Source organism: Homo sapiens, chromosome 19, assembly GCF_000001405.40.
Source record: "Homo sapiens chromosome 19, GRCh38.p14 Primary Assembly".
Taxonomy (NCBI): domain Eukaryota; kingdom Metazoa; phylum Chordata; class Mammalia; order Primates; family Hominidae; genus Homo; species Homo sapiens.
The window spans coordinates 5,114,012-5,141,878 of NC_000019.10; the positions used below are offsets into that span (position 1 = coordinate 5,114,012).

The window sequence follows — 27,867 nt, forward strand, 5'->3', positions numbered from 1 at the left end:
TGTTTGTATTCTTCCCCCTGATGGATGGGTCGCCTAAAACTGCAGCCTGGCTCCTGGCGGGTGCCCTCAGCCTCCCCACTCCCGGTGGCGCTGTGCGTTCTGGTGCCCTGCCTGAGCCGGAGCCCTCACAGTGCTCTCTGGCACCCACGCGACGCTCCTCCATGCAAACTCTTTCCACGCGAGAAGCGCCATGTGCACGTGCTCCAGCAGGTACGCGCTCCCTGCAGGACATCTGTGCACCCGCCTCACCACAGCCTCCCTGGCCCACTGCTGCTCTGTGAGCCCGGCTGGGCCCAGGCCTCGTCTCCCCTACCCCTCCGAGCTCGGTGCTGCCTGTCCCCTCCTGCTCTGCCTTGGCCTGTCGCCCCTGCGCCAGTGCAGGACACCGCCACGCCTCTGGCCCCGACTCCTGCCAGGGCTGCCACGGCTGCCACACCCCAGCTGCATTCCTGAGCCCTCCCCACCAACAGGGACCTCAGCCCTCAGGGACAGAACCTCACGAGCACAGGGACCTGCCAGCCCCTGCAGGGAGTGCGCAGCCTCAGGGACTCACTTGCTGTCTCCTGTCTCTTTCCTAGAGCTGCCCTTCATTTTCTCAAAGGTGAAATTCCTCAGCACAGGGTCTAGTCTTGGGGGTGGGGAGCACTGGGCCACTTTGGGTCGGGGGTGGGCGGCTCTGAGGGCTCAGCCTGGGGCCAGCCTCCCAGTCCTCCCCACCTTGTGAGAAGCCCTGAGCCAGCGCGGCACTGAATGCTGATGGTCCCACTCTGGGTGCTGCAGGTGCCCTGTGTTACTGGGTGACAGGGCCAGAGGCCGTCCACCCCGCCTCCTGCCATACAAGCTGCAAAGGACACCTGCTTCCACCTTGGAAATATTAGTGCAGTTATCTGGACTATGTCCCGACATTTGGCTCATAGGAATGAGCCCAGCGGCGTCCAGTTAAGCCTGGCAGGCTAAGTGCTTATTTATCTCCACTCTCTCCTGAAACGCCACTGAAACACCAGAGAGTGAAGTGCAGAGAACGGGAGAGGGGGCAGTGGCAGCTGAGCACGTCTCCAGGCTTTGAAAAGCAGGGAAGGGTGGGCAGGAGACCCCATGGGCCGGCAACCAGGAGGACAGCCAGCAGGGAGCAGCTGGGCTGCACCATGGGGCCACAGAAAGACACAGTGGGCAGACATGGGCAGCTCCTGGAGGGCTGCAGGGGGAATGTACCACGGGGCCTCAGAAAGACACAGCGGGCAAACATGGGCAGCCCCTGGGGGTGCTGGGGGGATGTGGGGGCAACCAGCAGAAGACAGTGGGTGGCTCTGGGCAGAAGGGAGGCGCCTTCCTGGGGTCAGCAGTGGGGCCCAGCTGCCAGCCTCACATCCCCCCAACCCCCAAGGCCAGGAGAGACAATAGAGGGGGTGGGGGTCCTCTGCCAGAGAACAAAGGGGCCCAGTGGAGCAAAGCCACATATGCTGATACTGGGGCTCTCCTAAAGTCACAGGCTCCTGCCCTCAGCAGCCCCTGCCACTGCCTTCACCAGGCCCAGCTCACACACGGCTTGGCACCGTGCACAGAGGGATCAACGGCCAGGGGACCCGACACATTGGAGGCTGCGCTCCCATGACAAAGGCAGGGCCTGCACAGCAAAGAAGGGCAGAGCTCCGAGGAAAGAGGATGCAGTGAGTGCAGGGCCCTGGAGTGGGCCGGGACTTTGCATTATGGAAAAAGAGCCATTGCTGTGAAGAAGAAACATTCCAGGAACGAGTGGCTCTCGGATGTTACCATCTAGAGAAGAGACAAGCCCACAGTGGATTGGGAGGCCCTTGAAGAATCCCCTCCCACAGCACTGACAGACAGAGCTGGAAGATAGGAAGGATCAGGAAGTCAGAGGCGTAGTCTAGGAAATCTAGCCCCTGATAGGAGTTTCAGAAAAAGAAAAGTGTCCCGGGACCCAAAGGCTTTGCATTTCCAGGTTAAAAAGTCCACCAGAAAGTCCGCCCAAGAATGGAAATTACCCAAACCACAATGCATCGCTGTGAAATTTCACAATTCCTGGATTAAACAAAGGCCCTGAAAGCTTCCAGAGCAAACAGATCACATAAACAGCTCACCAGACTGGGGCTGGGCATGGTAGCTCATGCCTGTGATCCCAGCACTATGGGAGGCCAAGGCAGGAGGATCACTTGAGGCCCAGAGTTCGAGGTCAGCCTGGGCAACATAGCAAGACCACATCTCTAAAAAAAAAAAAAAAAAAAAAAAAAAAATTATAAAGAATAGGAGACTCTGTTAGCATTGGATTTACAGTCATAATGCCACAAGCTAAAAGACAAAGGAAAAAGGCCTTCAAAAGTCAGAAGAGGAATAATTCTCCCCAAATCTTTTACCTAGCCAAATTGTCAAGAAATGTGTGAGGGGAATAAGGATCTTTTTAGACACACAGAGTCTCGTATTCCACCTCCTTTCTCAGGAAGCTGCTGCAGGATGTGCTCCAGCTAAACAAGGATGTAAATCGAGAAAGCCATGGGGTTGAGGAAACAAGATCTAACCCAGGAGAGTCAAGGGGAGTCTCAAGATCATGGGAGAAGGAACCAAGACCCCCAGGGGTGTCATGGAGAGAAGGGGACACCCTGCATAGGAGACCACAGCAGGAGTTTAAGAGCAATGGCAGGGAGCTCAGAGATACCAAGGAAGCTAGGCGTCCAAAGCAGGAGGCCAGTTCCAGACCCCAGGGTGGGGGCAGGGAATGCGGCCCGAGTTGCTCTGTGGCTCATGGATGCACAATGTTTATGGGGCATAAAAGCGTAAACGTGGAATTTGGCTGCAATGGAAGACGGTGGCAGGTGCAGGGAGAGAAGGGGACGGTCATGGAGGCGAGCAAGGATGGCCACACCCTCAACACCTGTGCCGGGAGCCAGACCCAGAAACAAGCATTGGGTGCAGAAACACGCGAAGGGGGATGAAGATGTCAGGGTCAGGAAGAGGCGTGCTCTTAGGACCCCACAGATGCCCCAAGTGATGGCTGCCCCTCTGCCGTGGGCTGTGCCCCCCTTGCTGTGTCTGTGCCGCCCTTGCTGTGTCTGTGCATTGAGCCCTACCCAGTTCCATGTAGTGTGGGACCCAGGGGTCTCAGCCTGGCACTACTGCAGGTAGGAAAGGGCTGGGCTGCAAGGATGAGGCCCCAGAGCTCTGGTTGGGCACCAGGACAGTTCTGGGGCCCTCTGGGGCAGACACAGTAAGGCTTGAAGGCCGTGGGGGTGCCCCTGGAAGGCTGCAGCAGGGGAGGGCCATGGTCGGAAGCGACCTCTAGGGTGAGTTTTCAGGGTGGGGGTGGAGGGAGGGACTGCAGTGGGTGGGAGAAGGGGCTGTGGAGCTGGGGGCAGCTGAGGCCAGGTGAGCGGCATGGGAGGGCGCCCTTCTGCTGGTGCTGTCTGGGACCAGGGCGGGTCCACTGTGGGATCCCGGCCCTACAGCCCTGGGGCATTCCCAGACCAGGAGGGCAGCCCACCTTGGGATGACAGTGGTGACAAGAGCCAGTTGCACCCCAGCGCCGGTCTGAAGCTTCCTCCTCCTGAGCCTGCTGTCTCCATCTGGGGCAGGCACCCAGCATTTGCCTAGCCCCCTAGTGGAGCCTGAGGCTGCCTTCCCAGAGCCGTCCTTGGGCTGCTGTTGTGGAGAACGTTCTCTGGAGGGCAGGGGCCACTCCCGTGTCCCCCATCCACCTCCTGCTCCCTGTGTTAGTGACTCTGGCCCCACGCCCGCCCCTGCCTGCCTCCCACCCCTGCCCGGCCACCCCGCAGCGACCTTGTGTGCACCATGCTGTGTGATGCCATGCCTCTGGTCCACCCGCTTTCTGCCTTGAGTCATTGTGGTGGGCCATGCTGCAGACATCGGGGAGCACTGATTCTAGCGAGTTAGGCAGCTGAGGAGCAAGGAGGGCCGGCAGTGACTAGTGTTCTAGGAAGGCTTCCTGGAGGAGGCGCCCCAGAAGCCAGCATGGAGCACAGGGCGGGCAGAGTGGCTGGGAGCAGCGGTGGGCAGGGGTCAGGTCCAAGTGTCCCGAGGGAGCATGGGCTGCTGCTGGCCCATGTGACAGCCTGGCTCAGGCAGAGGTGAGGAGGTCCTGGTAACAGAAGCCCCGGCAGCGGGCCCACCCCACCCCTGTCAGATGAGCCTGCCCCACCTTGGTGACCACTTGGTCCTTGGAGGGGCAGCTGCCACAGGGACCCCCGTGGGATTGAGGTGTCCGAGTCTGAGCCCATGGGGACAGGGGACACGGGAAGCACCCGGAAGCCGCAGCCGGCATTGGTGATTGTCCCGGAAACACTGGCGCTCCCAGCTCTGCCTGACTGCTGGCAGGCTTGACGTGGCTGGATCTCAACTGGGGAAGGGGAGAAAGGCCACTGGGGAGCCGGGCTGTGCGGCCTCGAGCTCATGGCCTAGAGAGGCCCCTGGCCAGGCCAGGGCTTAGGGCAGCTGCAGGGGGTGGGCCTGGAGGAGGTGCAGATATCACATGCCCAGGGGAGGCACTAGTGACCAGCCAGGCCTCGGCTTCTCTGCACTCCCGGCTTCTGCCTGAGCCCCCTGGGAACCACCCCCTCCGCATCTCCAAAAAGCTTTTGCTTCCTTCCTGGAAAGACCCTGGAGGTCCCTGGGGGAACCTGGTGTGAGGCCCTGGCCGCTCAGCTGCAGGGTCACCTGGCTGTCACTTTTCCTCCCTTTTTCAGCCCCTCTCTCTCATTTCTAAGAAGTCTCAGCTCAGCCAAGCCTGTAAGCCTCAGGTTGAATCCCTTACTTGGGGCTGGTGTGCAGGGACCGGGACCTCCCCGATGTACCCCAGGATTGTGGGTGTCCAGGTTGGGCATGCAGGATGCGCCTCCTCTTGGCCCACGCCTGCCCCGTGAGCAGATCCTGGGCTCAGGGCGCAGAGGAGGCCCTGGCAGGCCCTGGGGTGTGGGCACAGGTCAGAGCAGCGGAGTGTGAGCTGGGGCTCCCATGCACCTCATGGGCTGCAGAGAGAGGACCCAGGGAGTTGGGGACAGAGCCAGGTGGCCAGGACCAGGCGTCCTGGGGAGTTGAGCAGAAGTCCTAGAGAAAAAACCCGTGAAATTTACATTCTAGACAAATTAGTCTGAAAGAAAACAGACACTGGAGAAAGACTGAGGAGGAGAGGAAACCAAGTCTAGAAAGGAAGAAAGAGCAGACCAAAAGGCCGGGGCTGTCGTAAGTGTCTTTTTCGTTCCGTTTGTCGTCTAGGCATTTTCCATGAGCTGCTGTTTCCCTCGGAGCTCACACTCCCTGTGTCTCTGTCCCGTGGCACACGCGGCTCCTGCCGCCCCGTCCCGCCCGTCATCCCACCTGGTGTCAGTCGGCTTCCCATCTCCAGCTGTCATCAGCGTCCCCCGCTTGACACCGTCCCCGCCGTGTCCATTGCCCCGTCTCCCTTTGGTCTCTCCTCCCAACACGGCTCCTGCCCCGCAAGAGCAGAACCCCACCCAGGGTTCCCTTTACCCCCGGCCTCCAGCCAGGAGGCCCCCTGCTCATGGAGCGCTCTTCTGGGGGTGGGCGGGGGCTGCGTGCTGCCGGACAGAGTGCACAGACCTAGGGCTCTTCCCTCCCTGGTCTCCCCTCCTGCCTGATAAACCTCCCTCTCCAGGTCTCACCGGAAACGGAGCCAGCCCAAGAAGCCGAAGCCCGAAGACCCCAAGTTCCCTGGGGAGGGTACGGCTGGGGCAGCGCTCCTAGAGGAGGCTGGGGGCAGCGTGAAGGAGGAGGCTGGGCCGGAGGTTGACCCCGAGGAGGAGGAGGAGGAGCCGCAGCCACTGCCACACGGCCGGGAGGCCGAGGGCGCAGAAGGTCAGTCCCTGCCGGGCCAGGCCTGGCACCGCTGTTTTCCCACCCCCGTGGGCATCTCCTAGAAGGAACCAGTGCCTGCTACAGCCAGAGTCCCCGTTTTGTAAGAATCTGATTCAGTGGCTTTCTTGCCAGGGTGGGGCATTTCGTGAAAATAGACATCGTAAGGTGGAGGCCGTAAGAAAAGTGCCTCCGTCCCCAGAATTGAGAAGAGCAGTTACGAGAGGCCAGGCGCAGTGGCTCCCACCTGTAATCCTAGCACTTTGGGAGGCCAAGGTGGCAGGATCACTTGAGTCCAGGAGTTTGAGACCCTGTCTCTACTTATGATATAAAAAAAATTTAACCAGGCTTGGTGGCTTGCACCTATAGTCCCAGCTACTTGGGAAGCTGAGGTGGGAGGTTGAGGCCGTAGTGAGCCGTGTTTGCACCTCTGCACTCCAACCTGGGCAACAGAGCAAGACCCAGTATCACAAAAATAATAATAATAATAAAAGACCAGGATGCTGTATATGGCCCAGATGCTGGAACGTGCCTGCAGCAGCCACAGCCACTTGTGGGCAGAGGGCTGGTCCTGACTGTGAGCTGGGGCCCCCGTCAGCAGGTCTCCCACCTGCCCTCGGGCCTCCCCACTCTCCCGGGGCTGGCAAGACAGGGGGCAGCCGCCTTCCCACAGGAGTGTGAACCAGCAGTTGTGAACGGGGTGCGGGGGGCCGGGAGGCAGTCTCAGAAACATTACCTTCCCCAGGGGGAGGTTTTGGCTGTGGAACTCCCACCTGTGAGTGTGTAAAGGTTCCTATTCCAGGGTTGACAGCATTTTGTTTCTGGTGACTGGGTTTTATCTTCTCAGTTTAGAGCTTTAGCTGCTTGGGAGTCTGTGCAAAGTGGCTGTTCCCAGCTAGGGCTCCCCGCTGGGAGCCCTTCCCTCTCCCACCCTTTCCAGGTGCCATGCAGGGAGCAGGTTTGTGGGGTGTGCTGGCCAGCCTGCCTCCCACCAAGGGCTGCCCCCAGCCACAGTGCCTGAGGCCCAGGTCATGGGGGCCACATTCGCCGGAGGGTCCTAGTCCTCAGTTTCCCTCTGTATGAGCCCAACATGACCTGGTCTGCCTCTGAGGTGTCAGGTCTCCAGGACGCGCTGGTGCCCAAGGTGAATATTGTCCTTGGAACATGGCAAGAGGCCCAGCTGTGGTGCCATTCAGCAGATGTGAGGTCCCTCCCACCTGCCAGGGGCAGCCGTGGGGTGCCTGATCTGTGACGATGGGGTCGTGGCCCTCGCAGTACTCCAGGAGGCAGGCACGCCCCTGCCCTCCCCATATACATGGGGCAGATATTGAGGGTCACAGTTTGCCAGTGCCTGTGGGCCTGAGGCAAGAAAAGTGAGCATCCCTGGGGGAAAGAGCAGAGGCCGGGGGTGAGTTTGCCCCTGACGGACCACTTACTCGGTGGGGTACGTGGGCCCTGCGTCTGTTCAGCACGCCTCAGGAGGGTCTGCCGGCCTAGAGAGGCAAGACGAGGACAGAAAAGGCATCGTGGGTAGAAGAGAAAAGCACAGCTGTCGTGGCACTGTTATTATGTAGCGACAATTCTCTACTGAGAAGCAGCAAGCAAGTCTACAGGCAGCCGCCTGGTGACTCGGGGATCGAGCGGAGCTGCCAGAGATGAGCGACAGGCACAGAAACCCAATCTCGCCCCTCATCTGCGAGCCGCTCGCAGCAAACATGGCTCCCAAAGATGCCCCTTATGGTGCTAGCAACCAGAAATAATGGATCTTAGAATAAACCTAACCAAAAAAATGATCTTTATGGAGAAAATTAAGAGACTTTTTTTGGAAATAAGAAAGAATTCCTAAATAAACAGAAGGACCTACCAGGTGTTAGGAGAGCTCTTAAGCGGACAACTAACGGCTTCCCCCACATTCTCTGCAGGTTCAGTGCAGCTCCATTTGGGATCCCAGCAGGGTTTGCTGATTTAAATGCAGGCGGATGAAAGCCCAAGGCCTGTCAAGAGGCTGGGGCCACCCTTCCAGAAGGCAGGGCTTGCCACAGAGCTTGCAGGACCCAAGCAAAGATGGCAAAAGGTCTAGGAATAGGAATCCCGGAGCAGTGGACTTGGTGTGAGACCTCAGTCCCCTCCCTCCCCCTGTCCACGCTGCGGCCTCTGTGAGTGCCCTGGGGCCGCTGAAATGAAGGACCATGACCTTGGTGGCGTAAAACAACACACGCTCCTTGTCTCACAGCTCTGGAGGCCACCAGTCTGACAGGCCTCACTGGGCTAAAATCAAGCTGTGGGCAGGGCTGCTTCCTCCTGGGGGGCTCCAGGGGAGAACCTGTTTCCTGCCTGTCTCAGTGTCTAGAGGCGCCCACATCTCTTGGCTCAGAGCCCCTTCCTCCTCCTTCACAGCCACAGTGCAGCCTCTTCCGGTCTCTCTCTGACTCTTACCCTCCTACCTTCTACCCGGTGAGGACCCTGGGTTCCCAGGTCTCCCAGATGCTCTCCCATGTCAGGGTCCTTCACTGAGTCCCACCTGAATATTCCTTCTGCCACGGGAGGGGACAGATTCCCAGGCTCCAGGGATAAGGATGCAGATGCCTTTGGGGTCATTCCTCTGCCTGCCACATGCTTAGGCATTTCTGTCAAAAGAGAACTGGCAAACTGGAAACACAAAGCAGGAAAGTATATAACCCAAGGCTAAGTGATTGTTTATTAAAAAGCACAAACTAGAAAAATAAAGATGAACAAATTCAGTGACTCTCAAATCCACTGCTGTTTATCAAAGGATGAACCTTTAAGAAAGTGAGAAGACAAGCCGATAAGTAGGGAAGACACTCGCCACCCGTCACCGACCAAGAGCAGATAAGAATGCCTGAGGACCAGGAGGGGCTCAGCCCCCCAAGGAAGAGGGCACCAGAAGAGGAGATCCCTTAGGCTAATGAGCCCAGCCTGCTCTGGGAAGCGCTGCAGACACGCTGCTGTGTGCTCCTCGGACCACCAGAGGTGGAAACACCCACCGTGCCCAGCCCTGGAAGCCGGTGCAGCGGGCAGCCCAGTCCCCTGTTGCCTGGGACCTGCGTGAGTCCGGCTGCATTGGAGATGGACCTGGCCTTATCCAGAGAAGTGGAGCATTTGCAAACTGCACACCCAGAGCTGCCCTCAGGGCACGTTTCCTGGAGAGACCCCCTGCTGGTGGGGCACTAGGACTGTGCAGATGCAGGGACAGGCAAACTAACCAACCTCCATCGATGGAGAGGGACGGGGAACCAGCGCCTCCTGTCACCCTCGTCTGCCCTGGAGGCATGAGCGCTGGAGGCCACTGCTCCACGCCCTGTGGCTCTCGGACACGACCTCGCGTGGCACGGGGCTTCTCATATGCTGTGCTCCGTTTGTTTAAAGTCCACAGATGGGGCGGCTGAAATGGCTGAAATGTACAATCTCACACCTGTGGAAGCGGGAAGGTCACGGTCCAGGTGTCAGCCGGGCTGGCCCATTCCGAGGACCCAGGAGGACCTCTCCCAGGCCCCTTTCCTGGGCTTGGAGGCAGCACCTTTGTGTTCCCGTGTTCTCCCGGAGTGTGTCTGTCCAGATTCCCCCCTTCCTAAGGACACTGGCCACGCTGGGCCTGGCCCGCCCCAAGGGTCTCATCATAACTCATTCCGTCTGCAGTGACGCCCTTCCCAAACAAGGTGGCACCCCAGGTCCGGGGGCTAGGACTGCAGCACCATTCAACAGCACAGGGACTCAGCTCTGCAGCAGGCGAGGGGCTTCCTGCAGGGCAGGAGCAGGCACAGGTGCCCATTTGTGTTGTCATCCTGCAGGGCCTGTGTCTACACTGCAGGTCCTCTGGGGTTTGGGAAATCCTCAGAAATAATGCAGACTCCAGCAGGCAAGCTGGGCGCCTGAGCATGGGTCGTGCTGGTAGAGGATAAGTTCCTGGGCTGGCTGCGGTAGCCAGGCCTCCTGTTTTCTGAGCAGGAGTCTGTGTTTGATTCTGGAGACGGTGAGCCCCAGGCGAGGTCGGCAGGGGAGTGGGGGATGGGCGCAGTTCAGGTTCTATTCCAAGGGGGACTGTGGGATGTCGCTGGAGGGACTGGCGTGGGACAGGGAGGTGGCTGAGCCGTGACCATTCTCCCCACAGGATGGGCTGGCAGGGGTGGGCTGGGCTTGGGCTGGGGTCCCTGGGGGTGGGGGGCTGCGTGGGCCACCTTGAGCTTGGACCTTGTGAAGCTGCCCTTCTCACGAGTCAGAACGTGCTGGGGGCTGTGTGTGGTCTCACAGGAGATGGGTGAGTTATGGGAAAACAAGCAGGCAGAGAAAGATCCAGGCTTGGGTCTGGGGACCCGGGCCCACCCAAGCCCACCCGTTAACTGCCCATGTGACCCTGAGCTGGGACACCGCCTTGATGGACCCTTCAGGAGGGCAGAGATAAGAGGACACGCATCCTCCCCAGGCCGGCGCGGTGGGGGAAATCGGGCAGGCTGCTGCCGCCGCCGCTGCCACCTGTGGGTTCAGGCAGCGAGGAAAGTGGCCCAGTCCTGGGAAGGCTTTTACAGAGTGGAGCTGGCTGGTCAGAGTCTGTCCTGGGTTCTCAGTGGGGCCTCCTGGGAGGGGTCACAAGGATCCCCCGTACCATGGGTGTCTTCCTCCCTCTTGAGCAGACTCTAGGGGCTGGCCAGCCTCTGGCTGGAGGAAGGGCGGCCACCAGCTCCTGTGACTTGTTTTACCCAACTGGCTAGCAAAGGACTGTGGCTTCTTTTCCTTTTCCTTTCCTTTCCTGATGGAGTTCCGCTCTGTCACCCAGGCTGGAGTGCAGTGACGCAATCTCAGCTCATGCAACCTCTACCTCCCAGGTTCAAACGATTCTCCTGCGTCAGCCTCCCAAGTAGCTGGGATTACAGGCGCCCGCCACCATGCCCTGCTAATTTTTGTATTTTTAGTACAGACAGGGTTTCACCATGTCGGTCAGAATGGTCTCCAACTCCTGACCTCAGGTGATCCACTTGCCTCAGCCTCCCAAGGTGCTGGGATTACAGGCCCGAGCCACTATGCCCAGCCTTCTTTTCTTTTCTTTTTTTTTGAAACCGAGTCTTGCTGTGTCCCCCAGGTTGGAGGGCAGTGGTGCAGTCACGGCTCACTGCAGCCTTGGTTTCCTGGGCTCAAGCAGTTCTCCCACCTCAGCCTCCTCAGTAGCTGGGACTGTGGACGTGCACCGCAACTCCGCTCATTTTTCAAAATTTTTAGTAGACACGGGGTCTCGCTATGTTGCCCAAGCTGCTCCCGAACTCCTGGGCTCCGCCTCAGCCTCCCAAAGTGCTGGGATTACAGGTATGAGCCACTGTGCCCAGCTTTCTTTTCATTAATGTGACTAACTGTTATTTACTAATCTTCCCAAGCCCACTGACGAGACAGCCACACCCTCCCCAGCCCCGGCGTTACCTGCTCTCACTTGGGCCTCACCATGGCCTTGGCCTCCAAGAGACTCAGGTTCAGGGAGGTCCTGAACCAGGGGGTCCTGGTTCTCCTCTGGTCTCCCCTCCCCATGCGTGGTCCTGGCTGGATGGGCGGCTTTCCTCCCCTGACAGTGGCAGTTGCCCGCTGGAGAGAAGCCTACACCGCGTGGGAGGGAGGGGAAACCAATGGCTCGTCCAGCTGCCTGGCGTAGGTGAGGCCCTGGCCTGGTCACTCACCATCCTGTTTAAAGATGTACAGGGCAACTCGCTCCCTCCCGAGATCCCCGGGGGTCCACACGCCCGGTGCAGTGGTCACGGTGCCAGGAGGCTGGGCCTGGTGCATCTCTGAGGCCTGTGGCTTCCACGGGTCTCTGAAGGGATCAGCCCCCACAGAAAGGCCAGGGACCAGCGAGGAGGGTTAGGGGCTACGTTGGTGGCACGTCAGGGTCTCTGCCCAGGGAGGGCTCAGGACTGGTGCTGCCCACCCCCCGCCCCCCGCCCTGGACACCCTTATCTCTGTTCCACGACAGAGACTCCTGGGAAGGACCCAATCTGGCAGGGGTGGGCGTTTTCTTGGACACAGCCGTTTTCCCGGGAGCCCGAAGTCCCAGGAGCCTCTGGACGAGAGGTTTATCTCGAGAGAGCCTCATAAATGCATGTTCACAGTCAGGGGCACGACAGGAAATGCATGCCACAGTGCTGCGGGAAAGATTTCCTAAAGCGGTTTCTGGTCCTCCTTGAATGCCAGTTTCACGCCCCTAAAAGCTATGACGCTGAGGCACCTTTCAGGGCCTAGCAGTGGGGTGTGGGGTTTTGTGTTTTCATATGGAACAAGCTGGGAAGGGGCCAGAACCTGTTGCTCACAGGGGCCAGGGGGCATCAGCATCGGGGAGGAAGCCCCTCAGGAGGAGAGGTGCCTGGGGGGCGGTTGAGAGGCTGCTTCCCAGTGGCTGCTGGTGTCCCCTATCCCATTCTTACTGGCTGCTTCAAGGTCTGGGAAGAGCGGCCGCCCTATTGCCCAGCGCTAGGAGGGACTAGCAGCCCCACCAGCCAGCCCTAACCCCAGAACCAAGCAGAAAGCAGGAAGGCGGCCTCGTCCACCTCTCCTGAGCCTCCGGGGAGGCCCCGCCTCCTGGAAGAAGGCCTGCAGTGCAGGACACACAGGGTCAGGGGGCAGAGCCAGGATGGGGACCCAGGAGGGCTGGCATAGTGCCGTCCTGCCTCCCAGAGGGTGGAAAGGCTGCGGTGAGTGGGGCAGCCAGCCCCCAGCCCTTCCCCTCCCCTCGCCCCGGAGTGCTGCTCTCAGGAGAGGCCTCGTGGCTGGTGACTGGTTTTAGAACACGGAAAGCAAAGGCTGCCATGTCTGGAGGGCGGCCCCAGCTCATAGTGAGGGGCTGTGAGCTCAGCCCGGGGACCCGCCAGCACATCCCAGCTGGGCCTCTGGGACCGTCAGGCGCACCCGGCTGCGGGTTCAGCACGGGAGGGTGGCAGTGTTGAAGGGGGTGGCCAGAGAGCCCCTGAGACCGGGGCTGGTTGGCCCAGGCATGGAAGCCAAGCACGAAACTTGAGGGAGGGGCCCCATAAGCCAGGCCGAAGCTGGTGAGTTGATCTCGGCAGCCTCGGAGCAGGAACAGAGTGGTGTCCTTGGAAATGGGTGGTTTCTTGCCCCCTCCACAGGGCAGCCTGGGCCTCGGGCCTGTCTTGGGGTTTGCTGGAGGCTCTGGTGGAAACCCCGGCGCTGGGGAGGAGTGGCCTCGCCACCAGGCAGGCTAGTGAGCCCTGGTGGTGGGGTTTCCGCTGTGACACCTTCCCTCCACCCAAAAAGAGTGCTAGCAGGGCCTCAGCTGGCTGCCCTCGGGGGCCTGGGTGCATCCTGGGCCCCATCTGTACCATGGTCCCTGCTCTGTCCTGAAGCCCCTCACCCGCTTCCCTCCCTCAGGCCAGGCAGGTGAGGGGCGTGCCAAGGTCCCTGTGGAGTGTAGTCCCCATGGCAGGGACAGAGCCCCAAGGAATGGCCCACAGCAAGGACAGAGCCCCGAGGAATGGCTGCGGGGTGTGCCGCCGTCTTTCAGGGTGTCCTTCCTAGCCTTGGGCATCTCCCTCTAACAGGGTCCCCTGTGTGTCTGCCCGGGCTTCACTGAGCCTGGGAGCCGACAGGGAGAGGGCTGGAAACTTGTTCTTGTGAGTTTGAGAATCCAGGGCACCAGCAGGTGCGGGCTATGCGTGGAGTGCGTTGAGGCTGCCGCCATTGTCATTCACTGCTGTCTCCAGACAGGGGATGGGGTGGCACTCATCAGCCGGGCACCTGAGGCTCAAATTATGTCCCACTTTGTCTCCCATGCCTGGTCCCTCCGGGAGACAGAACCAGGCAGCCAACCAGGGAGGGCTGTGGGGAAGCGGGACTTGGGGCCATCCCTGTCCTTGGAGGAGGAGGGAGAGAGCCCTACAGTGTGGCCCTTGGTGAGAGGACAGCCCCCGGGAGGCCTAGGGGACGATGGTGGCCTCAGCTCCCCACCCAGCCTTGCCTCCCGAGCAGAACCAGGGCCTGGGGCGGTCACACCAGCCGCCCCTCAGCTCCCAGGAGGCCCCGTTGGTCGGGGGAGGATGCCAGCCCCTTAGAGAGGCGGGGACTCCCCAGGGACCCTCTGAGCAGGCACCTGTGGTCTCGTGAGGACAGCCCGGCTCTGTGTCTCTGGCCCCACAGCCCTGGCTGGAGTCCCCTGTGCACAGAGCTGCCTGTTGTGTGTGAGGACAGCCCAGCTCTGTGTCCCTGGCCCCACAGCCCCGGCTGGAGTCTCCTGTGTGCGGAGCTACCTGTTGTGTGTGAGGACAGCCCGGCTCTGTGTCCCTGGCCCCCACAGCCCCGGCTGGAGTCCCCTGTGTGCGGAGCTGCCTGTTGTGTGTGAGGGGTGGGTGGGGGTGCCGGCTGGGGACTCTGATGAGTGTTTCCTCCTCGCCTCCTTCCCCAATTCCTCATGTGTGCACTGAGTGGCCCTGCAGCTGGAGGCCGTGAGGCTGTGTCCTGGCATCTTCCTCCCTCTCCTGAGACCATCGATGCCCCAGGTGGGGCCCTCCTGGGCCAGATCCCACGCCAGCCCCTGCCCTTGAAGTTGAACCCGGCTTGGGAAGCCGGCCCAGCAGTGGGGGGCCTGAGTCCCAGTCCCCGGTGAGGCTGGATGGGCACCGCAGCCTGCAGTCCTGAGTGAGGCTGGGCAGGCGCTATCATGGACGAAGGAATATTGGATTTCCTTAGGGGAACAAAGCTGTTTGTCCTCAAGTGCCTTTTACACACGCAGGACAGTGGCTTTCCTGACAGGCGCTCGGGGTGAGGCGTGCGGCCTCTGCAGCCTCCCCGGGCTGCTCCAGCTTCCAGCCCTGGTGAAGCTTCCGGCCCCTCCCCTCTGCATCTCCACGCCTCTGCTCCCAGCCTCCCAGGGAGGGGGTGCCTCCCCTCTGGCATCGGCAGGGAAAAAGTATTTCTTCCCACGCCAGCCTGTCTGCTGTGTCCAGTGTTTACCTCCCCTGGCCAGATAACAGCTGAGGGGCCAGATAACAGTGGAGGCGGGGGGCGGGGGGGGGGGTCATATAACAGCGGGGGGCCCGGATACCAGCGGAGGGGAAGACTGCGCTCCCTGCAAGGCCAGACAGGACCTGGGGGTGTTCCAGGCTCCCCTGCCGGGGTGGAGGTCAGGGAGGAGCCCGGCCAGTGCCCCCAGTGCCCCAGAATGCTCAGGACTAGCAGGGGTGGGGGCCAGGGCAGTGGCGGGGGCTGCCTTCACCTTATGGCTGCTCGCCTGTCCTTCTTGAGAAACAGGTGGGCGTGTGCCTGCCAAGGACACCGTGGGCGGTCCCCCAAGCCTGCAGATGGAGCTGGGTAGGGTGTGGGGAGGAGAGCTGGAGCAGGGAGGGCAGGGCCGCCTCCACTCCTGGGGGAGGCTGTGGGCTGGGGGCCCCTTGTGGGAGTGTGTGGGGCAGTGTGGCTTCCTCCTGGCTGCAGGGTCTGTTGGGGGAGGGTCCTCACTTGACCCTTACTGGGGTCAGTGTGGGTCAAGGGTTAAGTGTCACCCTCGGCCCTTGGGAGCCTCATTGCTGAGGGTCTCAGCGCTTACCACTGGTCCTGGCATCACGGACTGTGGAGCTGGGGGCAGCCCGTGGTGGGTTTTATAGCAAGTGGTGAGATGTGGGCGCTGTGCTCCAAACCAGACCCCGTTAAGTGCCACATGGTCAACAGTTTAGTGTGCAGAAATGAATTTCCTTCTCTTAATTTTTCCTTATTTTTCCAGCCTGTTGGGGGAGGTGGAGGTGGTGAAATGTTAGCAGTGACCAGTTCATCCTGATCTGCTTGGGACCTTCCAGTTTTAGCACTGAAAGCCCCACAGCCCAAGAATCCCTTGGATATCAACCACGGTTCCTCCTTCCAGAATGTCCCAAGAGCCTTAGGGCCTGGAGACACACAGGTGGGGGCCTGAGCCCCTGTCCCCCTCCTCCAGATGGAGCAGGCAGGGCCCCAGGGCCCCAGGGCTCACGGTGTTCTGGGGTCCACAGTGTGCTGTGCGGCCAGGCTGGTCTTCCTCGAGGACAGGGCTCCAAGTTGCCGTGCCACAACTTACCCTGAGTGCGGCGGCCCTCAGAGGGATTGCCCCGGCACGAGCTTCCCACAGCCCGACACAGAGCGCCGCTGGGCTCACATGGAGCTGTGTGCAGGGACAGGCCCTCCTGGGCACTCCAGGACAGAAACCTTTCCCAGCATCTAGAGGCCCCTGCATCCCTCAGCTCGAGTCCCTTCCTCTCCCTTCACAGGCACAGCGCAGCCTCTTCCAGTCTCTCTCTGACTCTCACCCTCCCGCCTCATCTTGTGAGGGCCTTGTGAGGACATCGGGCCTCTTGGATCATCTAGGATCACCTCCCATTTCACTCAGTCCCACCCACAGAGTCCCCTCTGCCAGAGTCCCCCATGTCCCTCTGTCATGTCCCACATCCACATGTCCAGGAGAGTTGGGACCCGCACGCTTCTGGGGGCTGTGATTCAGCCAGCCAGGCTGCTCATCCCAGTTTTATTTTATTTACTGCAAACCCGTCCTGGCCCCAAAGTAAAATGCCACCAAACACATGAGTCAACTGTCCCCTCCCTGTCACCTGTCAGGAAATCTCCCCATTGCTGGCCCCGGGGAGTTCCACGCGGAAGGGTGTCGGGCCCCACAGGCCCATCTGACGCTTCCTGGTTCGCTCATGTGACCGCCAGGTTGGGGTTCGTTGATTAAGATTTTGTGCGTTGTTCAAGGTTTTACTTTCGTCAAAAGCAAAACCTTAACGTTTCTACATCAACAGTAGAAATGTACGTAATTCGGATACACGAGAACACAAAAAGTGCTTCTCCCCCACCTCCACCGGGAAAGTGCCATTTGGTACGGCCCACCCAGGTGGGAGCCCAGAAGACAGAGCAGCCTCCCCTGGCTGGGTTTGGTGACGCGTCTCCTCACCTCCCGTGACCCCAGAAGGCACATAGAGCAACACCTGGTGGGTCCTCACAGGCCTTGGCAGGCAAGTGCCGCTGCTGCGCCTGCGTTGTGGGGAGACCAAGGCCTGGGGGTGCCTGGCCAGGTGCCCCTGCGGTGATCTGAGGTGGCCCGAAGCCTGTGTTCTCTGCCCACCCATGTTCGTGTGGCCTCTCTGGGTGGAAGGAGCCCTCGACCATCCCAGTCAAAGTTGGGGGATTTCTGGGGAGCGTGGGACCAGCACTTGAGCCCGGGTTCTCCTCCCTGACCTCCCTCTCCTCTTCCCACAGAGGACGGGAGGGGCAAGCTGCGGCCAACCAAGGCCAAGAGCGAGCGGAAGAAGAAGAGCTTCGGCCTGCTGCCCCCACAGCTGCCGCCCCCGCCTGCTCACTTCCCCTCAGAGGAGGCGCTGTGGCTGCCATCCCCACTGGAGCCCCCGGTGCTGGGCCCAGGCCCTGCAGCCATGGAGGAGAGCCCCCTGCCGGCACCCCTTAATGTCGTGCCCCCTGAGGTGCCCAGTGAGGAGCTAGAGGCCAAGCCTCGGCCCATCATCCCCATGCTGTACGTGGTGCCGCGGCCGGGCAAGGCAGCCTTCAACCAGGAGCACGTGTCCTGCCAGCAGGCCTTTGAGCACTTTGCCCAGAAGGGTCCGACCTGGAAGGAACCAGTTTCCCCCATGGAGCTGACGGGGCCAGAGGACGGTGCAGCCAGCAGTGGGGCAGGTCGCATGGAGACCAAAGCCCGGGCCGGAGAGGGGCAGGTGGGGTGGAGCGGGGGAGGCAGGGAGGAGGGGGGCAGGTGGGGTGGGGCAGGGGAGGAGGGGGCAGGTGGGGCACAGGGGAGCTGGTGGCGGGGGAGGGGGCAGGGAGGAGGGGACAGGAGGGCTGACTGCTGGTTTCACAGGGAACTGTGGCTCTTCTCACAGGGTAGGTGGGGTGTCTGTACTTAGAGAACAGAGGAGCCCTGTGGTTCTTTGCTGGGACAGTCACCCCAGGAGAGGAGACTCAGGCCTCAGGCACGCCGAGCCCCTGTGTGGCTCCGAGGGAGCCCCACCCAGGGGTCTGTAGCGGGGCCCTCACTACAGCCTGTTGTGTGTTTCAGGCACCGTCCACATTTTCCAAATTGAAGATGGAGATCAAGAAGAGCCGGCGCCATCCCCTGGGCCGGCCGCCCACCCGGTCCCCACTGTCGGTGGTGAAGCAGGAGGCCTCAAGTGACGAGGGTGAGTGGGGGGTCCCCAGGTCGGCTCTCATCAGCCCTGCTCCGCGCTCTGCTGCTGCTGGAGGGGGGGCCTGGCTCCCCTGCGGCTTCCTTCCCCCACTTCCTGGGTCTCCTCCCCTGAACCCAGGCCTTTCTGTGGCTCTGCCGTAGCGACAGGCTGTCACTGGGGCAGGTGGTCGTGCGGGGAGGCAGCTGCTGTTAGAGATGCTCGGCTCTGCTCTGCTGGCTGGGCTGCCCATGATGGGCGGTTCAGGGCTGGGGAGCTTGTACCTCCCCATGGAAGATTCCTCCCAGGGCTGAGCACAGGCCTCTCCAGGACTTGGAGAGGTTGGAACAAAAGGCTCCCGCGAAGCTTTGAGTGGGAGGGGAGGAGATGGAATCTTCGATTTAACCCTCAGCCGAGAGCTGCTGTCTTGTGTGCAGAAGTCCTGCTAAGCCAGTTTTTCAACTTCTGCTTCGGCCTTTCATTGGGGATGCATGTAGAATCTGAAAATGGTCTGGATGGCGTCTTTCATCCTGCATGCAATTGGAGGGGTGGGGAGAGGAGGGTTCTAGAAGCGCGTGGGATCACAGGGCGGGAGCTCCCAGGAGTGGAGGAATCGGCACGGGGACAGAGGAATGACCAGGGGCCCCCGCGGGCTGGCTTGGGAAGGGGTCTTGCCTTCTACCCAGGTATCCTTCCAGAAGGCATCTCTGGGGCCTCCGTGGACTCCCCCACTCCCCACACCCCACTGTGACCCTTTGGTGAGACCGGAGCATTTGCCTGTGAGACCATCACGGCCCCAGAACCCCAGGCATTCTGGGGTTGTGAGTGACAGACGCAGCCAGTGGCTCTGTTCTCATCCCCAGGGCCTCGGGGCCGCTTAGGGCCTTCCCTGGGCTCCGCTGGCGGTACTGTCTGGTTTGGGTTTTCAGAGGAGTCTTGGCCTAAGGGCTTCCTGAGTCCACCATGGGAGACCTGGGCCTCCACCTCGGGGAGCCTGCCCTGCCCTGCCCTGCCCTCCTCTAGGTGAACCAGGGGCAGTGCCACAGCTGGGCTGATCCCAGGACCCCAGGCTCCCCTTTAGGTTGGGCTGAGGATTGGGCCACAGGAGTGGGCACCCCACTTCCTGGGGACAGCACCCCTGTGTCCACAGGAGATGCAGGGAGGGGACGTGGGGAGATTGGGGTGCGGCAGCTGGCAATGGAGGCCATTAGAGTTCAATGGGAACAGGCAACAGGTGGGAGAGAGACCGCCGCGGCTTCTCAGCAGCAGACCTGCCTTCCGGGAGAGTGTCCCCGTCACGCAGCTCTTCCTGGGGCGGGCTGCCTTGGCTTCCTAGCCCTGGTCACGGCCCCTCCTGACTCCCTGTCGCACTCCTCTGGCACCTCCCTTGAGTTCAGTGAGTCTGTGCCCACCTAAGACAGGAAGGACAGTGTCTCTGAGTCTCGGCTGGTCACTGCCGACGCCCCCACTCAGACTCAGACCCCAGGACGGGTGTAGGGCAGCCGGGGCAGGGCTGGGCACTGAGTTTGGCCAGTCCTTGGCCCAGAAGGCCCTGGGTGAGTGGACGGCTCTGGATGTCCAGGGAGAACCAGGTGTTGGGGGAGGGGCTCAGAGGAACCATGTTTGGGGGCTCTGGCCTCAGGTGGCAGTCAGCCGAGACAGACGTGTCCCCCTCCTGTTGATGGGATGGGACGCTGCAGTGTCAGCTTGATGGGCATTGTGGAGAATGGGGCAGCCAGGAGGCAGGTGGAGGGGGAGCTATGGGCCAGGGACCCTGTGGGCAGCCAGGGCTGTAGACCCGGGGCCATCCCCTGGGCAGTTGGGGTGATTCCTTGGACGAGTTTTTAGGGGGCTCAAGTGTCTCTCTCCCTCTCCCCTCTGTTCTTCTAGAGGCATCCCCTTTCTCCGGGGAGGAAGATGTGAGTGACCCGGACGCCTTGAGGCCGCTGCTGTCTCTGCAGTGGAAGAACAGGGCGGCCAGCTTCCAGGCCGAGAGGAAGTTCAACGCAGCGGCTGCGCGCACGGAGCCCTACTGCGCCATCTGCACGCTCTTCTACCCCTACTGCCAGGTGGGCAGGCGGGCCTCACGGGTCCCAGAGAACCCCAGGCAGGGGCGGTGGGAGAGGGCGAGGGACCGGGCACCCCACACGCCTCCCTCTCTCACGCAGGGCAGGGTGTTGGCCAGCACCCCGAGTTGTGAGGGCTTGTTCCTGACAGCCGTAGGCAGAGCCTGGTCTCTGGGTTTTATTGGAATGAAGCTTACTAACGTGCCCATGTGCAACATGAGCCATGGTGGATGGGGCAGAGGGAGGCTGCGGAGGCTCGGGGTCACTGCCCTCAGGGAGCGCCCGTGTCTGGTGGGCGCTGAGATGGGCCGGGTGGTGTGGGAGTGCAGTGAAGGCCCAGGTACACCACCTGGGTGGCCGGGCGGGGCTCCCGCAAACCCTGGCCTGTCTAGCTGAGCTGGGCACCTGGCTAAGGTCCTGTTTCTGGTGCTCTTTCCATGCTGGCCTCGCCTGTCCTCTGCACCCAGATGGGGAGCTGGCCTCTGCCCACGGCCATCCCAGGCATCAGCACCCAGCCCAGCCGTTTTCCTCGGATCTCTTAGATCCCCCCTTCTCTCTTCCCCTGGGCATGCAGCCTCCCCAGGACAGGACCTGGCCACATGCTTTGCACTCCCAGCTCCTAGCCCCATGCCAAGCATGTCCAGGCATCAGCAGAGCTGCCCTGGGTTGGGGACGTCACCCCCCAGGCCTGTGCGCCGGCCGGGTCTGGGTGGACAGAGCCAGGGAGAGTGCTGTGCCGAGGGTGGTGAGCCTGTCTTGGGGCTCTGCTGCTGGGAGCTGGATTTAGTGCTCTGGTTCCTGAGACAAACAAGACCTGACAGCCGACACCGTCTCCAGGCACTTGCTGTCCTTTGTGAGGCCAGAGAGGCTGCTGGGAGCCACAGGGCCTGGAATGCCACTTCAGACATGCGTCTTCCTAATTCCCCTTGCCAGGCAGAGTGTGGAGACTCGTTCATCACACACCACCCCCAGCATACCCCAGCGCCAGGGGCCACCCAGCACCAGGGGCCACACAGGCCAGCCTGAGCTCTGTGTCTGGATGCAACCCTCATGGGAAGGTCTTCGGCGGGTTGGGGACAGGGTCAGACAGTGTTTGGGGATCCTGACTTTCTGGAGGAGTGAGAAGAGGGGCCGAGGTGGCTCTGGCCATCTCCCCGACCTCCCCCTCCAGAGCCAGGGGGTGTCGAAGCCTGGGGCAGGTGCCCTGAGAGAGGTCCGCGCCGCCCGCCCGCCTGCCCCACACATGGCTCTGTCCCCTGAAGGTCGCCTCTCCCCTACAGGCCCTACAGACTGAGAAGGAGGCACCCATAGCCTCCCTCGGAGAGGGCTGCCCGGCCACATTACCCTCCAAAAGCCGTCAGAAGACCCGACCGCTCATCCCTGAGATGTGCTTCACCTCTGGCGGTGAGAACACGGAGCCGCTGCCTGCCAACTCCTACATCGGCGACGACGGGACCAGCCCCCTGATCGCCTGCGGCAAGTGCTGCCTGCAGGTCCATGCCAGTGAGTGCCACTGTGGGGCCCAGAGGAGCTGCGCCCTCCTTCAGGGTGTTGGTGGGGGTGCCGGTGGGGGCTCCATCCTCCCCTGCGGAGGGCCACACCGGCCCCTCTCCCCAGGCTGCACTTTCAGGGCCAGGGCAGGGGCCTCCCCCGGTGACTTCCTGCAATTTCTGACTTTCTCATCCTTCCCGTTGTGGTCCCACCATCTAGAGCAGGGGGAAAGGCTGTGGCCATGGAAGGGCTGGATGACCGCATGCCACCCTGGGGCAGGACAGGGCCTCCACCGCCCCCAGCATCCAGAAGATGCCAGTGCAGGCCCAGGTGCTGGCCTCTGGTGCCAGCCTCTGCGGAGGAAGCCTCTGCTCCAAGGGGCACTGGGCTCATCCCACCCTGTCCCTGACACCCAGAAGCTCACCCTAGGGCCAGAGCAAGAAATGGGCCAGGCACCCCGTCTCTCCGCAGGCTGTGTTCCCTGAGAATGGCTGTCTCTGCCAAGCAGCCTTTGGGGGCAAACATCCCTGCCCTTGACCTTGGCCCAGGCAGGGTTCCTCCTCACTGGCCCTCTGGACAGTTCTGCCGAGTCTTCTCCAAGGCCTGGGAGGCGACAGGAGGAACTCAGGCAGCCGCTACGCCTGTGATTTGTGGCTGTGGTTGAAACTGATGGTCACAGTGAGATTGCAGCGTGGTCAGGGCGTCTGATTTATCTCTGCTCTCAGGGACCCCTCCCCAGTCCTGAGGCTCGACCATGGTCACAGACAAGAAAATGGATGTCTGTCTCTTTCCCACGCACGGGGGGGCGGTGGCAGGAATTGGACTTTCAGGGAAGGAGGAGGGCTCTCTGGAGACGTTTAATTTTCTGTGCCCCTGGCAGCCATAGATCTGTGTCGGTTTCCTCCTGGCGGTGGCCTGCCTGGGGGCTCGCGTTGTCTCCTGGCTGGGAGGCTCTTCACTCTGCTTTGCTGGGCCTGGGTTTGAGATGTGCCCCCGGGGCAGATGGGCTCCCTGGGGGAAGGGTTGCCGAGGGTCCCAGGCCTGCCACAGCCGGGCCGCCCCAGCCAGGCTACCCCAGCAGACGCCCCCACCCCCAGCCGTGCCCACCACCCTGCTGCTCTGGAGGCAGTGAGGTCCCCGCCCCCAGCCTCTTCAGTGGGCCATCAGCACTGGCAGAGAGCCCCTTCCACACTGGGGGCAGTGATCCCCAGCAGAGGCAGAGCCCTGGGGGGCAGGCGGCACCCCTGCCCTCGCTCTGGGGGCATGATTCGGCCTTTTGTGCCCTTTCCCCATTTCCAGACCCAGGGCCACATCCCACAGTGAGTCTCCCTTGCGGCTTTGGCCTTTCTGGACATAGCAGGAGGAGCTGCTGTTGGGGGTGCAGACACCCAACAAGGAGGGGCCCTCAAGACACCACCAGGCTGAGCGCGGCAGACCCAGCTGGAGCTCAGGGTCCCTGCTTCCCCTCCTGCGTCCTCTTTCCACACAAGTAGCTTCCAGACCTTTCTCTCGCTCCACATGCAGTGGCCTGGATTGAAGCTCAGAGGGTGGGAACAGCACGCACCCTGAATGCTGCAGCTGCGTGCGGAGGCCTCGTCACTCCACATACGGACACTGGCCCCCAAGTTACCCGGCCCCTCCCCCTGAGTTTCACTCGGCTCCCCAAGTCTCACCTGCCCCCCAGATCTCAGCCAGCCCCCGCTGTCTTCCAGGTTGCTATGGCATCCGTCCCGAGCTGGTCAATGAAGGCTGGACGTGTTCCCGGTGCGCGGCCCACGCCTGGACTGCGGTAACTCGCTCCCCGCAGCGGGGGTGGTGCTCTGAGAGGCCTGGGCCCCGGCCCCACTCCAGTGGGGTGACTTTGGGGCGTAGTCTCCCCTCCGTGGGCCTGGGTTCCTTCACCTCTGCCCTGAGGGGGTGGAACCCAAGGGATTCCCACCCGTCACTTTGGTGGCTGCTAGGTTGAAATATAAGGGCCGTGGGCTGGGGACGGTTGGCAGATCAGGCCCCAAGCAGTGTGTGGGGAGCCTGCTCCGAGCCCTGCTCATCCAGGGCTGTCTGGTCTCCACAGGAGTGCTGCCTGTGCAACCTGCGAGGAGGTGCGCTGCAGATGACCACCGATAGGAGGTGGGTGGCACCGCGCGTTGGGGCTGGAGGGCCGGAGGGGAGCCTGCCCTGGGCTGAGGCTCTGCAGGGTGTGACCCCAGTGCCTAGGGGTTGACCATCACCTCCACATAACCGCCCTGTGTCATGGATGGGGTGGCCAGGGCTGAGGAGGAGCATACGCCTGCACCGACCTTCCTGAAGTTCCCCAGGCCCTGACCCAGCCGACAGCCACATCACGCCCAGCCCCTCTGTGACCAGCCCAGGTCCTCAGAGGCGCACCTGACCCCGCTGCACCTGCCCTCCCAGGTGGATCCACGTGATCTGTGCCATCGCAGTCCCCGAGGCGCGCTTCCTGAACGTGATTGAGCGCCACCCTGTGGACATCAGCGCCATCCCCGAGCAGCGGTGGAAGCTGGTAGGTCCTTGCGGTCGAGGCCCACCCTGCCCGTGCCTCTAGGGCTGCCGGCCATGCTCGGCTCCCCACCTGCGCGATCTGAAGCGGTCTTTCCTCCAAGCTCTGCGTCTCCATGGGGGTGGTGGGCAGCTTTCAGGAAGCCAGTGATCCCGACTTCAGCAGGTGTGTTATTTTTTGAATCCTTCCCCGAGGTGCAAGGTACAAAAATCAGAAGGCATCAAGGGTGGCAGAGATAAGCAGGCCCCGTCAGGTGTGGCCTTGGGGGCATCCTCTGCAGAATCGAGCACCCCATGCAGTTTCCACCTTCCCACAAAAGCAGAGGCACCGCACGTGCCCCGACACAACCGGGCTGTCTGATCTTTGCTGTTTTTCTAATAATTATAACAAGCCTGGGCAACACGATGAGACCCCATCTCTATAAAAAAAATAAAAAACACTAGCTGGGCGTGGTGGCACACACCTGTGGTCCCAGCTACTCGGGAGGCTGAGGTGGGAGGATCGCCTGAGCCCGGGATACCCAGGCTGCAGTGAGCTGTGATGGCACCATTACACTGCAGCCTAGACAACAGAGCCAGGCACTGTCTCAAAAAAAAACAAACAATTGTAACAATGCTTAGCGTGAGATCTGCCCTCTTAAGAAGCATCTGAGGTTCAGTACAGCATTCACCACGGGCCCAGTGGTGGGCAGCAGGGCTCTGCGGCCCGCTCACCCGTCCTGTATAACTGACACTTCACACGTGCTAAGCAGCAGCTCCCTCCGCCCACCCCAGCACCCAGCACTCTGCTTCTGTGTGTTTGCCTGTGTTATAGACCCCACGTGAGTGGGATTGTACAGTCTTTATTCTTCTGCGACCGGCTTCTTTCTTAAGAGACAGGGTCTCTCACTCTGTTACCCAGGCTGGAGTGCAGTGGTGTGATCACAGCTCTCTGCAGCCTCAAACTCCTGGGCTCAAGCGATCATCCCGCCTCAGCCTCCTGAGTAGCTGGGACCACAAGCACGTGCCAAAAAGTTAGGTTAACTCCCAATTTTTTTTTAAAAGATGGGGTCTCACTATGTTGCCCAGGCTGGTTTGGAACTCCTGGCCTTGAGATCTTCCTGCCTTGGCCTCCTGGGTAGCTGGGATTACAGGCGCGAGTGGTGTCTTTCATTTGGCATAGTTTCCTCAAGGTTCATCCACATTCATTCAACCCAAATATGGCAGGAGTTCCTTCTTTTCCTGGCTCAGTGATGTGCCACCATGTGGATGGACGACGTTGTGTTGATCCGGGCACCCGCCGATGTCTCTGCCTTCAGGCTGTTGTGGGTTGCGCCGCAGCGGATGTGGGAGTGTGGTTGTGGTTTGGAGATTCTGATGTCATTTCCTGTGGATACAGACCCAGCAGTGGGCTTGCTGGACCGTCGGGCAGCTCTGTTTTTAGCACTGGAGGAAACTGCTCTCCCTTGCGGCTGGACGGACTCCCATCCGCACCCCCCGGGTGCAGGGCTTTCCCCTTCCCCTCGTCCTCACTCACACCTACCTTTGACTTTTTTGTAGCAGCCGCCCTAGCAGGTGCGAGGTGGTCTCGCTATGGTTTGATTTGTGTTCTCCTGGCGGTCAGTGACGCTGGGCATCTTTGCACAGTCCTGTTGGCCATCTGCATGCCGTCTTTGGAGAAACGTCTGTTCTGCTCCTTCGCCCATTCCGTGCCTGGGTTGCTTGGCCTTTTGTGGTTGAGTTGGAGGATCTCTGCTGCTCCACTCTTGGTGCACATTGAGGCCCCCCGTAGATGCGCGCAGCCACCTTGGGCGTAGCGGGGCCTCATCGTGGGGGCTTGTGAAGCTTCCTCCTGCTCTCAGCAATGATGGCCCCCCTTTGGGGAACCCCTTGGAGCCACAGGGCAGTCAGGAGTGGTCAGTGCTGGCCACCAGCTGGCTGTGCACTTGGGACAGATTCCTCGACCTCTCTGTGCCTCGGCCGTCCCTTCTGTGCTGTGGGGTTGCCACAGTCCCCGCCATGCAGGGTTGCAGTGGTGTGAGCTGGGCCCACTCCCTAAAGCATGGACCACCCTGTCTGAGCACTAGCAGCTGCTCAGGGCTTGTCAAATCTGCAGCCTCGCTCCCCCAGGCCCCCAGTGTCACCTACTGCATTTGATCCACACAGTGAGAGCCTGTGGGGTCATCCTGCACTGTCTGTTCTGCAGGTGAGGAGCCTGGGGCCTGGAGGGGCTTGGCCGATCATGGCCTGGGCTGCAGCCCTGCAGGGCTGTCTGCTGCACACCCTGTAGCCCACCTGCGCACAAGGCACTTGGGGCTGTCCACGCCTGCTGGAAAATGACACTCAGCTGGCCCTTTAAATCAGCTTCCTGCAGAGCCTTGGGACCTGGCCCAGAAAGAAGATGAGGAGGCCAGGCCTGGTGGCTCATGCCTGTAATCCCAGCACTTTGGGAGGCCGAGGCGGGTCGATCTCCTGAGGTCAGGAGTTCGAGACCAGCCTGGCCAACATATGAAACCCCGTCTCTACTGAAAATGCAAAACTTAGCTCTGCATGGCGGGACGTGCCTGTGATCCCAGCTACTCGGGAGACTAAGGCGGGAGAATTGCTTGAACCTGGGCGGCGGAGGTTGCAGTGAGCTGAGATTGCGCCACTGCACTCCAGCCTGGGCGACAGAGTAAGACTCTGTCTCAAAAAAAAAAAGATGAGGAGAGCAAAATGCAGATGTTGCTGGGGCCGCGTCCCCACTAAGGGCTGTGCATGTGGCAGCGCTGATGGGGAGGACGCATTTGTCCCTGTGCACTCCGGCCTCTGCACACGTGTCTCGTGGGCCCCTGGAGGCTGGGCCCGCAGCCAGTAGCACCCAGCAGCGTCCTGCCTGCTTTTCCTGCCTGGTTTATCTTCCCAGCCGCGGACACAGTGCCTGGTGTTGACATTCAGGCTTGCGTGGAGGTGGGGCTGGAAGCAGACAGATCAGTCTGGCAGGGTGGGTCTGCTGGGGAGACCACAAGGGTGGGACTGATGCCGGCCACAAAGCCCGGGCTCCCATGCACTGGTGCGAGGTGCCCACGAGCCCGGCGGGCTTGGATGCCATGCTTGGAGCCCACAGGTGCTGGGCCACCTGGGCAGGGCTGTGCAGGCAGTCACAGAGGCTCATCTGGAAGGGGAGCCCTCTTTCCTTGTTCGTGGAGTGGAGTGTGCAGTGGGTCACGCCGGCCTGGCCGGGCACGGCCAGGCGATTAGGAAGCCGGCAGCCCGCGGGTGATGCTTCCGAGGCACCAGTGACTCAGTCCACAAACGTGGGCGTAAAAGGCCTCATGATTCAGGTGGAGTGATGGTGCGATGCGTGGTGCAGTGATAAGTCCTCCTGCCCGACGCCTTATGGATCATCTGACATTTCCAGAACGCAGCCTCTTCATTACCGGTGCTTGTAACGATGAATTAAAAATCCTTTTACACGAGGCCCGCTTGTACTGCTTAATGGGGCTTTGCAAGGAGGCGGCGGTTAATTCCTGCTCGCCCAACCGCCCAGCCACCTTCGCGGGCCACGGGCAGGCTGCAGGCATGGGGCACTCACTCCTGGTTACCCATCCGTCAGTTTGTCTCCAGGACTTCTCCAGCCACCGGCTCAGGGCTCCAGGCAGTCCTGGTGAGTCAGGGGGCTCCGGCTGGCCGCCCGCCTGGGCCAAGTTATCACCACGTTCTCAAGGCCGTGCTGCTGAGAAGCTTCTCACCTACCGGCTGGGCAGGTTCCTGGCAGCAGGCAAAAGCACCGGGAGCTCCCTGGAGGATCTGGGAGGTCTGGGAGGGGCTTGGGATGGGGGGAGGCGCCTCCA

The 27,867-nt window shown here is 61.3% G+C and overlaps 1 protein-coding gene across 9 annotated transcripts in view, besides 23 other annotated features; it reads left to right on the top strand.

Annotated features, from left to right (window-relative positions):
- Positions 1 to 27,867, top strand: part of KDM4B (lysine demethylase 4B) — a 184,486-nt gene that overhangs the window by 144,899 nt on the left and 11,720 nt on the right. For 6 of the 9 annotated variants that reach the window (XM_005259521.5, XM_011527814.3, NM_001411148.1 and 3 more), the window contains 9 exons: positions 5,107 to 5,208; positions 5,642 to 5,841; positions 17,065 to 17,534; positions 17,876 to 17,996; positions 19,872 to 20,050; positions 21,328 to 21,550; positions 23,251 to 23,327; positions 23,610 to 23,665; positions 23,951 to 24,059. In XM_005259521.5, coding sequence (XP_005259578.2) covers positions 5,107 to 5,208; positions 5,642 to 5,841; positions 17,065 to 17,534; positions 17,876 to 17,996; positions 19,872 to 20,050; positions 21,328 to 21,550; positions 23,251 to 23,327; positions 23,610 to 23,665; positions 23,951 to 24,059 — 1,537 coding nt within the window. Of the gene's footprint in view, positions 1 to 5,106; positions 5,209 to 5,641; positions 5,842 to 8,611; positions 10,630 to 17,064; positions 17,535 to 17,875; positions 17,997 to 19,871; positions 20,051 to 21,327; positions 21,551 to 23,250; positions 23,328 to 23,609; positions 23,666 to 23,950; positions 24,060 to 27,867 lie in introns of those variants that run through there. The other 3 variants (NM_015015.3, XM_047438472.1, XM_017026504.3) reach the window with 2 other exon arrangements.
- Positions 156 to 1,111: an enhancer, noted in NCBI's record as "H3K27ac-H3K4me1 hESC enhancer chr19:5114178-5115133 (GRCh37/hg19 assembly coordinates)". NCBI's record gives its function as "activates a minimal SCP1, AML or CMV promoter by ChIP-STARR-seq in primed H9 embryonic stem cells {active_cell/tissue: H9 hESC(primed)}" and the evidence as "EXISTENCE:reporter gene assay evidence [ECO:0000049][PMID:30033119]".
- Positions 1,112 to 2,066: an enhancer, noted in NCBI's record as "H3K27ac-H3K4me1 hESC enhancer chr19:5115134-5116088 (GRCh37/hg19 assembly coordinates)". NCBI's record gives its function as "activates a minimal SCP1, AML or CMV promoter by ChIP-STARR-seq in primed H9 embryonic stem cells {active_cell/tissue: H9 hESC(primed)}" and the evidence as "EXISTENCE:reporter gene assay evidence [ECO:0000049][PMID:30033119]".
- Positions 7,432 to 7,972: an enhancer, noted in NCBI's record as "H3K4me1 hESC enhancer chr19:5121454-5121994 (GRCh37/hg19 assembly coordinates)". NCBI's record gives its function as "activates a minimal SCP1, AML or CMV promoter by ChIP-STARR-seq in naive H9 embryonic stem cells {active_cell/tissue: H9 hESC(naive)}" and the evidence as "EXISTENCE:reporter gene assay evidence [ECO:0000049][PMID:30033119]".
- Positions 11,338 to 11,874: an enhancer, noted in NCBI's record as "H3K27ac-H3K4me1 hESC enhancer chr19:5125360-5125896 (GRCh37/hg19 assembly coordinates)". NCBI's record gives its function as "activates a minimal SCP1, AML or CMV promoter by ChIP-STARR-seq in naive and primed H9 embryonic stem cells {active_cell/tissue: H9 hESC(naive and primed)}" and the evidence as "EXISTENCE:reporter gene assay evidence [ECO:0000049][PMID:30033119]".
- Positions 11,875 to 12,412: an enhancer, noted in NCBI's record as "H3K27ac-H3K4me1 hESC enhancer chr19:5125897-5126434 (GRCh37/hg19 assembly coordinates)". NCBI's record gives its function as "activates a minimal SCP1, AML or CMV promoter by ChIP-STARR-seq in naive H9 embryonic stem cells {active_cell/tissue: H9 hESC(naive)}" and the evidence as "EXISTENCE:reporter gene assay evidence [ECO:0000049][PMID:30033119]".
- Positions 12,413 to 12,949: an enhancer, noted in NCBI's record as "H3K27ac-H3K4me1 hESC enhancer chr19:5126435-5126971 (GRCh37/hg19 assembly coordinates)". NCBI's record gives its function as "activates a minimal SCP1, AML or CMV promoter by ChIP-STARR-seq in naive H9 embryonic stem cells {active_cell/tissue: H9 hESC(naive)}" and the evidence as "EXISTENCE:reporter gene assay evidence [ECO:0000049][PMID:30033119]".
- Positions 12,593 to 12,682: a silencer, noted in NCBI's record as "silent region_9916". NCBI's record gives its function as "represses an Ori minimal core promoter by ATAC-STARR-seq in GM12878 lymphoblastoid cells {active_cell/tissue: GM12878}" and the evidence as "EXISTENCE:reporter gene assay evidence [ECO:0000049][PMID:35858748]".
- Positions 12,873 to 12,932: an enhancer, noted in NCBI's record as "active region_13793". NCBI's record gives its function as "activates an Ori minimal core promoter by ATAC-STARR-seq in GM12878 lymphoblastoid cells {active_cell/tissue: GM12878}" and the evidence as "EXISTENCE:reporter gene assay evidence [ECO:0000049][PMID:35858748]".
- Positions 12,950 to 13,487: an enhancer, noted in NCBI's record as "H3K27ac-H3K4me1 hESC enhancer chr19:5126972-5127509 (GRCh37/hg19 assembly coordinates)". NCBI's record gives its function as "activates a minimal SCP1, AML or CMV promoter by ChIP-STARR-seq in naive and primed H9 embryonic stem cells {active_cell/tissue: H9 hESC(naive and primed)}" and the evidence as "EXISTENCE:reporter gene assay evidence [ECO:0000049][PMID:30033119]".
- Positions 13,153 to 13,222: an enhancer, noted in NCBI's record as "active region_13794". NCBI's record gives its function as "activates an Ori minimal core promoter by ATAC-STARR-seq in GM12878 lymphoblastoid cells {active_cell/tissue: GM12878}" and the evidence as "EXISTENCE:reporter gene assay evidence [ECO:0000049][PMID:35858748]".
- Positions 14,563 to 15,098: an enhancer, noted in NCBI's record as "H3K27ac-H3K4me1 hESC enhancer chr19:5128585-5129120 (GRCh37/hg19 assembly coordinates)". NCBI's record gives its function as "activates a minimal SCP1, AML or CMV promoter by ChIP-STARR-seq in primed H9 embryonic stem cells {active_cell/tissue: H9 hESC(primed)}" and the evidence as "EXISTENCE:reporter gene assay evidence [ECO:0000049][PMID:30033119]".
- Positions 14,617 to 14,781: a silencer, noted in NCBI's record as "fragment chr19:5128639-5128803 (GRCh37/hg19 assembly coordinates)". NCBI's record gives its function as "represses an EF-1alpha promoter that drives an FKBP-Casp9 reporter gene in an ReSE screen in HepG2 liver carcinoma cells {active_cell/tissue: HepG2}" and the evidence as "EXISTENCE:reporter gene assay evidence [ECO:0000049][PMID:32094911]".
- Positions 15,025 to 15,074: a silencer, noted in NCBI's record as "silent region_9917". NCBI's record gives its function as "represses an Ori minimal core promoter by ATAC-STARR-seq in GM12878 lymphoblastoid cells {active_cell/tissue: GM12878}" and the evidence as "EXISTENCE:reporter gene assay evidence [ECO:0000049][PMID:35858748]".
- Positions 15,099 to 15,636: an enhancer, noted in NCBI's record as "H3K27ac-H3K4me1 hESC enhancer chr19:5129121-5129658 (GRCh37/hg19 assembly coordinates)". NCBI's record gives its function as "activates a minimal SCP1, AML or CMV promoter by ChIP-STARR-seq in primed H9 embryonic stem cells {active_cell/tissue: H9 hESC(primed)}" and the evidence as "EXISTENCE:reporter gene assay evidence [ECO:0000049][PMID:30033119]".
- Positions 15,105 to 15,154: a silencer, noted in NCBI's record as "silent region_9918". NCBI's record gives its function as "represses an Ori minimal core promoter by ATAC-STARR-seq in GM12878 lymphoblastoid cells {active_cell/tissue: GM12878}" and the evidence as "EXISTENCE:reporter gene assay evidence [ECO:0000049][PMID:35858748]".
- Positions 15,637 to 16,173: an enhancer, noted in NCBI's record as "H3K4me1 hESC enhancer chr19:5129659-5130195 (GRCh37/hg19 assembly coordinates)". NCBI's record gives its function as "activates a minimal SCP1, AML or CMV promoter by ChIP-STARR-seq in primed H9 embryonic stem cells {active_cell/tissue: H9 hESC(primed)}" and the evidence as "EXISTENCE:reporter gene assay evidence [ECO:0000049][PMID:30033119]".
- Positions 16,174 to 16,710: an enhancer, noted in NCBI's record as "H3K4me1 hESC enhancer chr19:5130196-5130732 (GRCh37/hg19 assembly coordinates)". NCBI's record gives its function as "activates a minimal SCP1, AML or CMV promoter by ChIP-STARR-seq in primed H9 embryonic stem cells {active_cell/tissue: H9 hESC(primed)}" and the evidence as "EXISTENCE:reporter gene assay evidence [ECO:0000049][PMID:30033119]".
- Positions 16,711 to 17,247: an enhancer, noted in NCBI's record as "H3K27ac-H3K4me1 hESC enhancer chr19:5130733-5131269 (GRCh37/hg19 assembly coordinates)". NCBI's record gives its function as "activates a minimal SCP1, AML or CMV promoter by ChIP-STARR-seq in primed H9 embryonic stem cells {active_cell/tissue: H9 hESC(primed)}" and the evidence as "EXISTENCE:reporter gene assay evidence [ECO:0000049][PMID:30033119]".
- Positions 16,751 to 16,860: an enhancer, noted in NCBI's record as "active region_13795". NCBI's record gives its function as "activates an Ori minimal core promoter by ATAC-STARR-seq in GM12878 lymphoblastoid cells {active_cell/tissue: GM12878}" and the evidence as "EXISTENCE:reporter gene assay evidence [ECO:0000049][PMID:35858748]".
- Positions 17,341 to 17,560: an enhancer, noted in NCBI's record as "active region_13796". NCBI's record gives its function as "activates an Ori minimal core promoter by ATAC-STARR-seq in GM12878 lymphoblastoid cells {active_cell/tissue: GM12878}" and the evidence as "EXISTENCE:reporter gene assay evidence [ECO:0000049][PMID:35858748]".
- Positions 23,231 to 23,732: an enhancer, noted in NCBI's record as "H3K4me1 hESC enhancer chr19:5137253-5137754 (GRCh37/hg19 assembly coordinates)". NCBI's record gives its function as "activates a minimal SCP1, AML or CMV promoter by ChIP-STARR-seq in primed H9 embryonic stem cells {active_cell/tissue: H9 hESC(primed)}" and the evidence as "EXISTENCE:reporter gene assay evidence [ECO:0000049][PMID:30033119]".
- Positions 23,733 to 24,232: an enhancer, noted in NCBI's record as "H3K4me1 hESC enhancer chr19:5137755-5138254 (GRCh37/hg19 assembly coordinates)". NCBI's record gives its function as "activates a minimal SCP1, AML or CMV promoter by ChIP-STARR-seq in primed H9 embryonic stem cells {active_cell/tissue: H9 hESC(primed)}" and the evidence as "EXISTENCE:reporter gene assay evidence [ECO:0000049][PMID:30033119]".
- Positions 25,255 to 25,354: an enhancer, noted in NCBI's record as "active region_13797". NCBI's record gives its function as "activates an Ori minimal core promoter by ATAC-STARR-seq in GM12878 lymphoblastoid cells {active_cell/tissue: GM12878}" and the evidence as "EXISTENCE:reporter gene assay evidence [ECO:0000049][PMID:35858748]".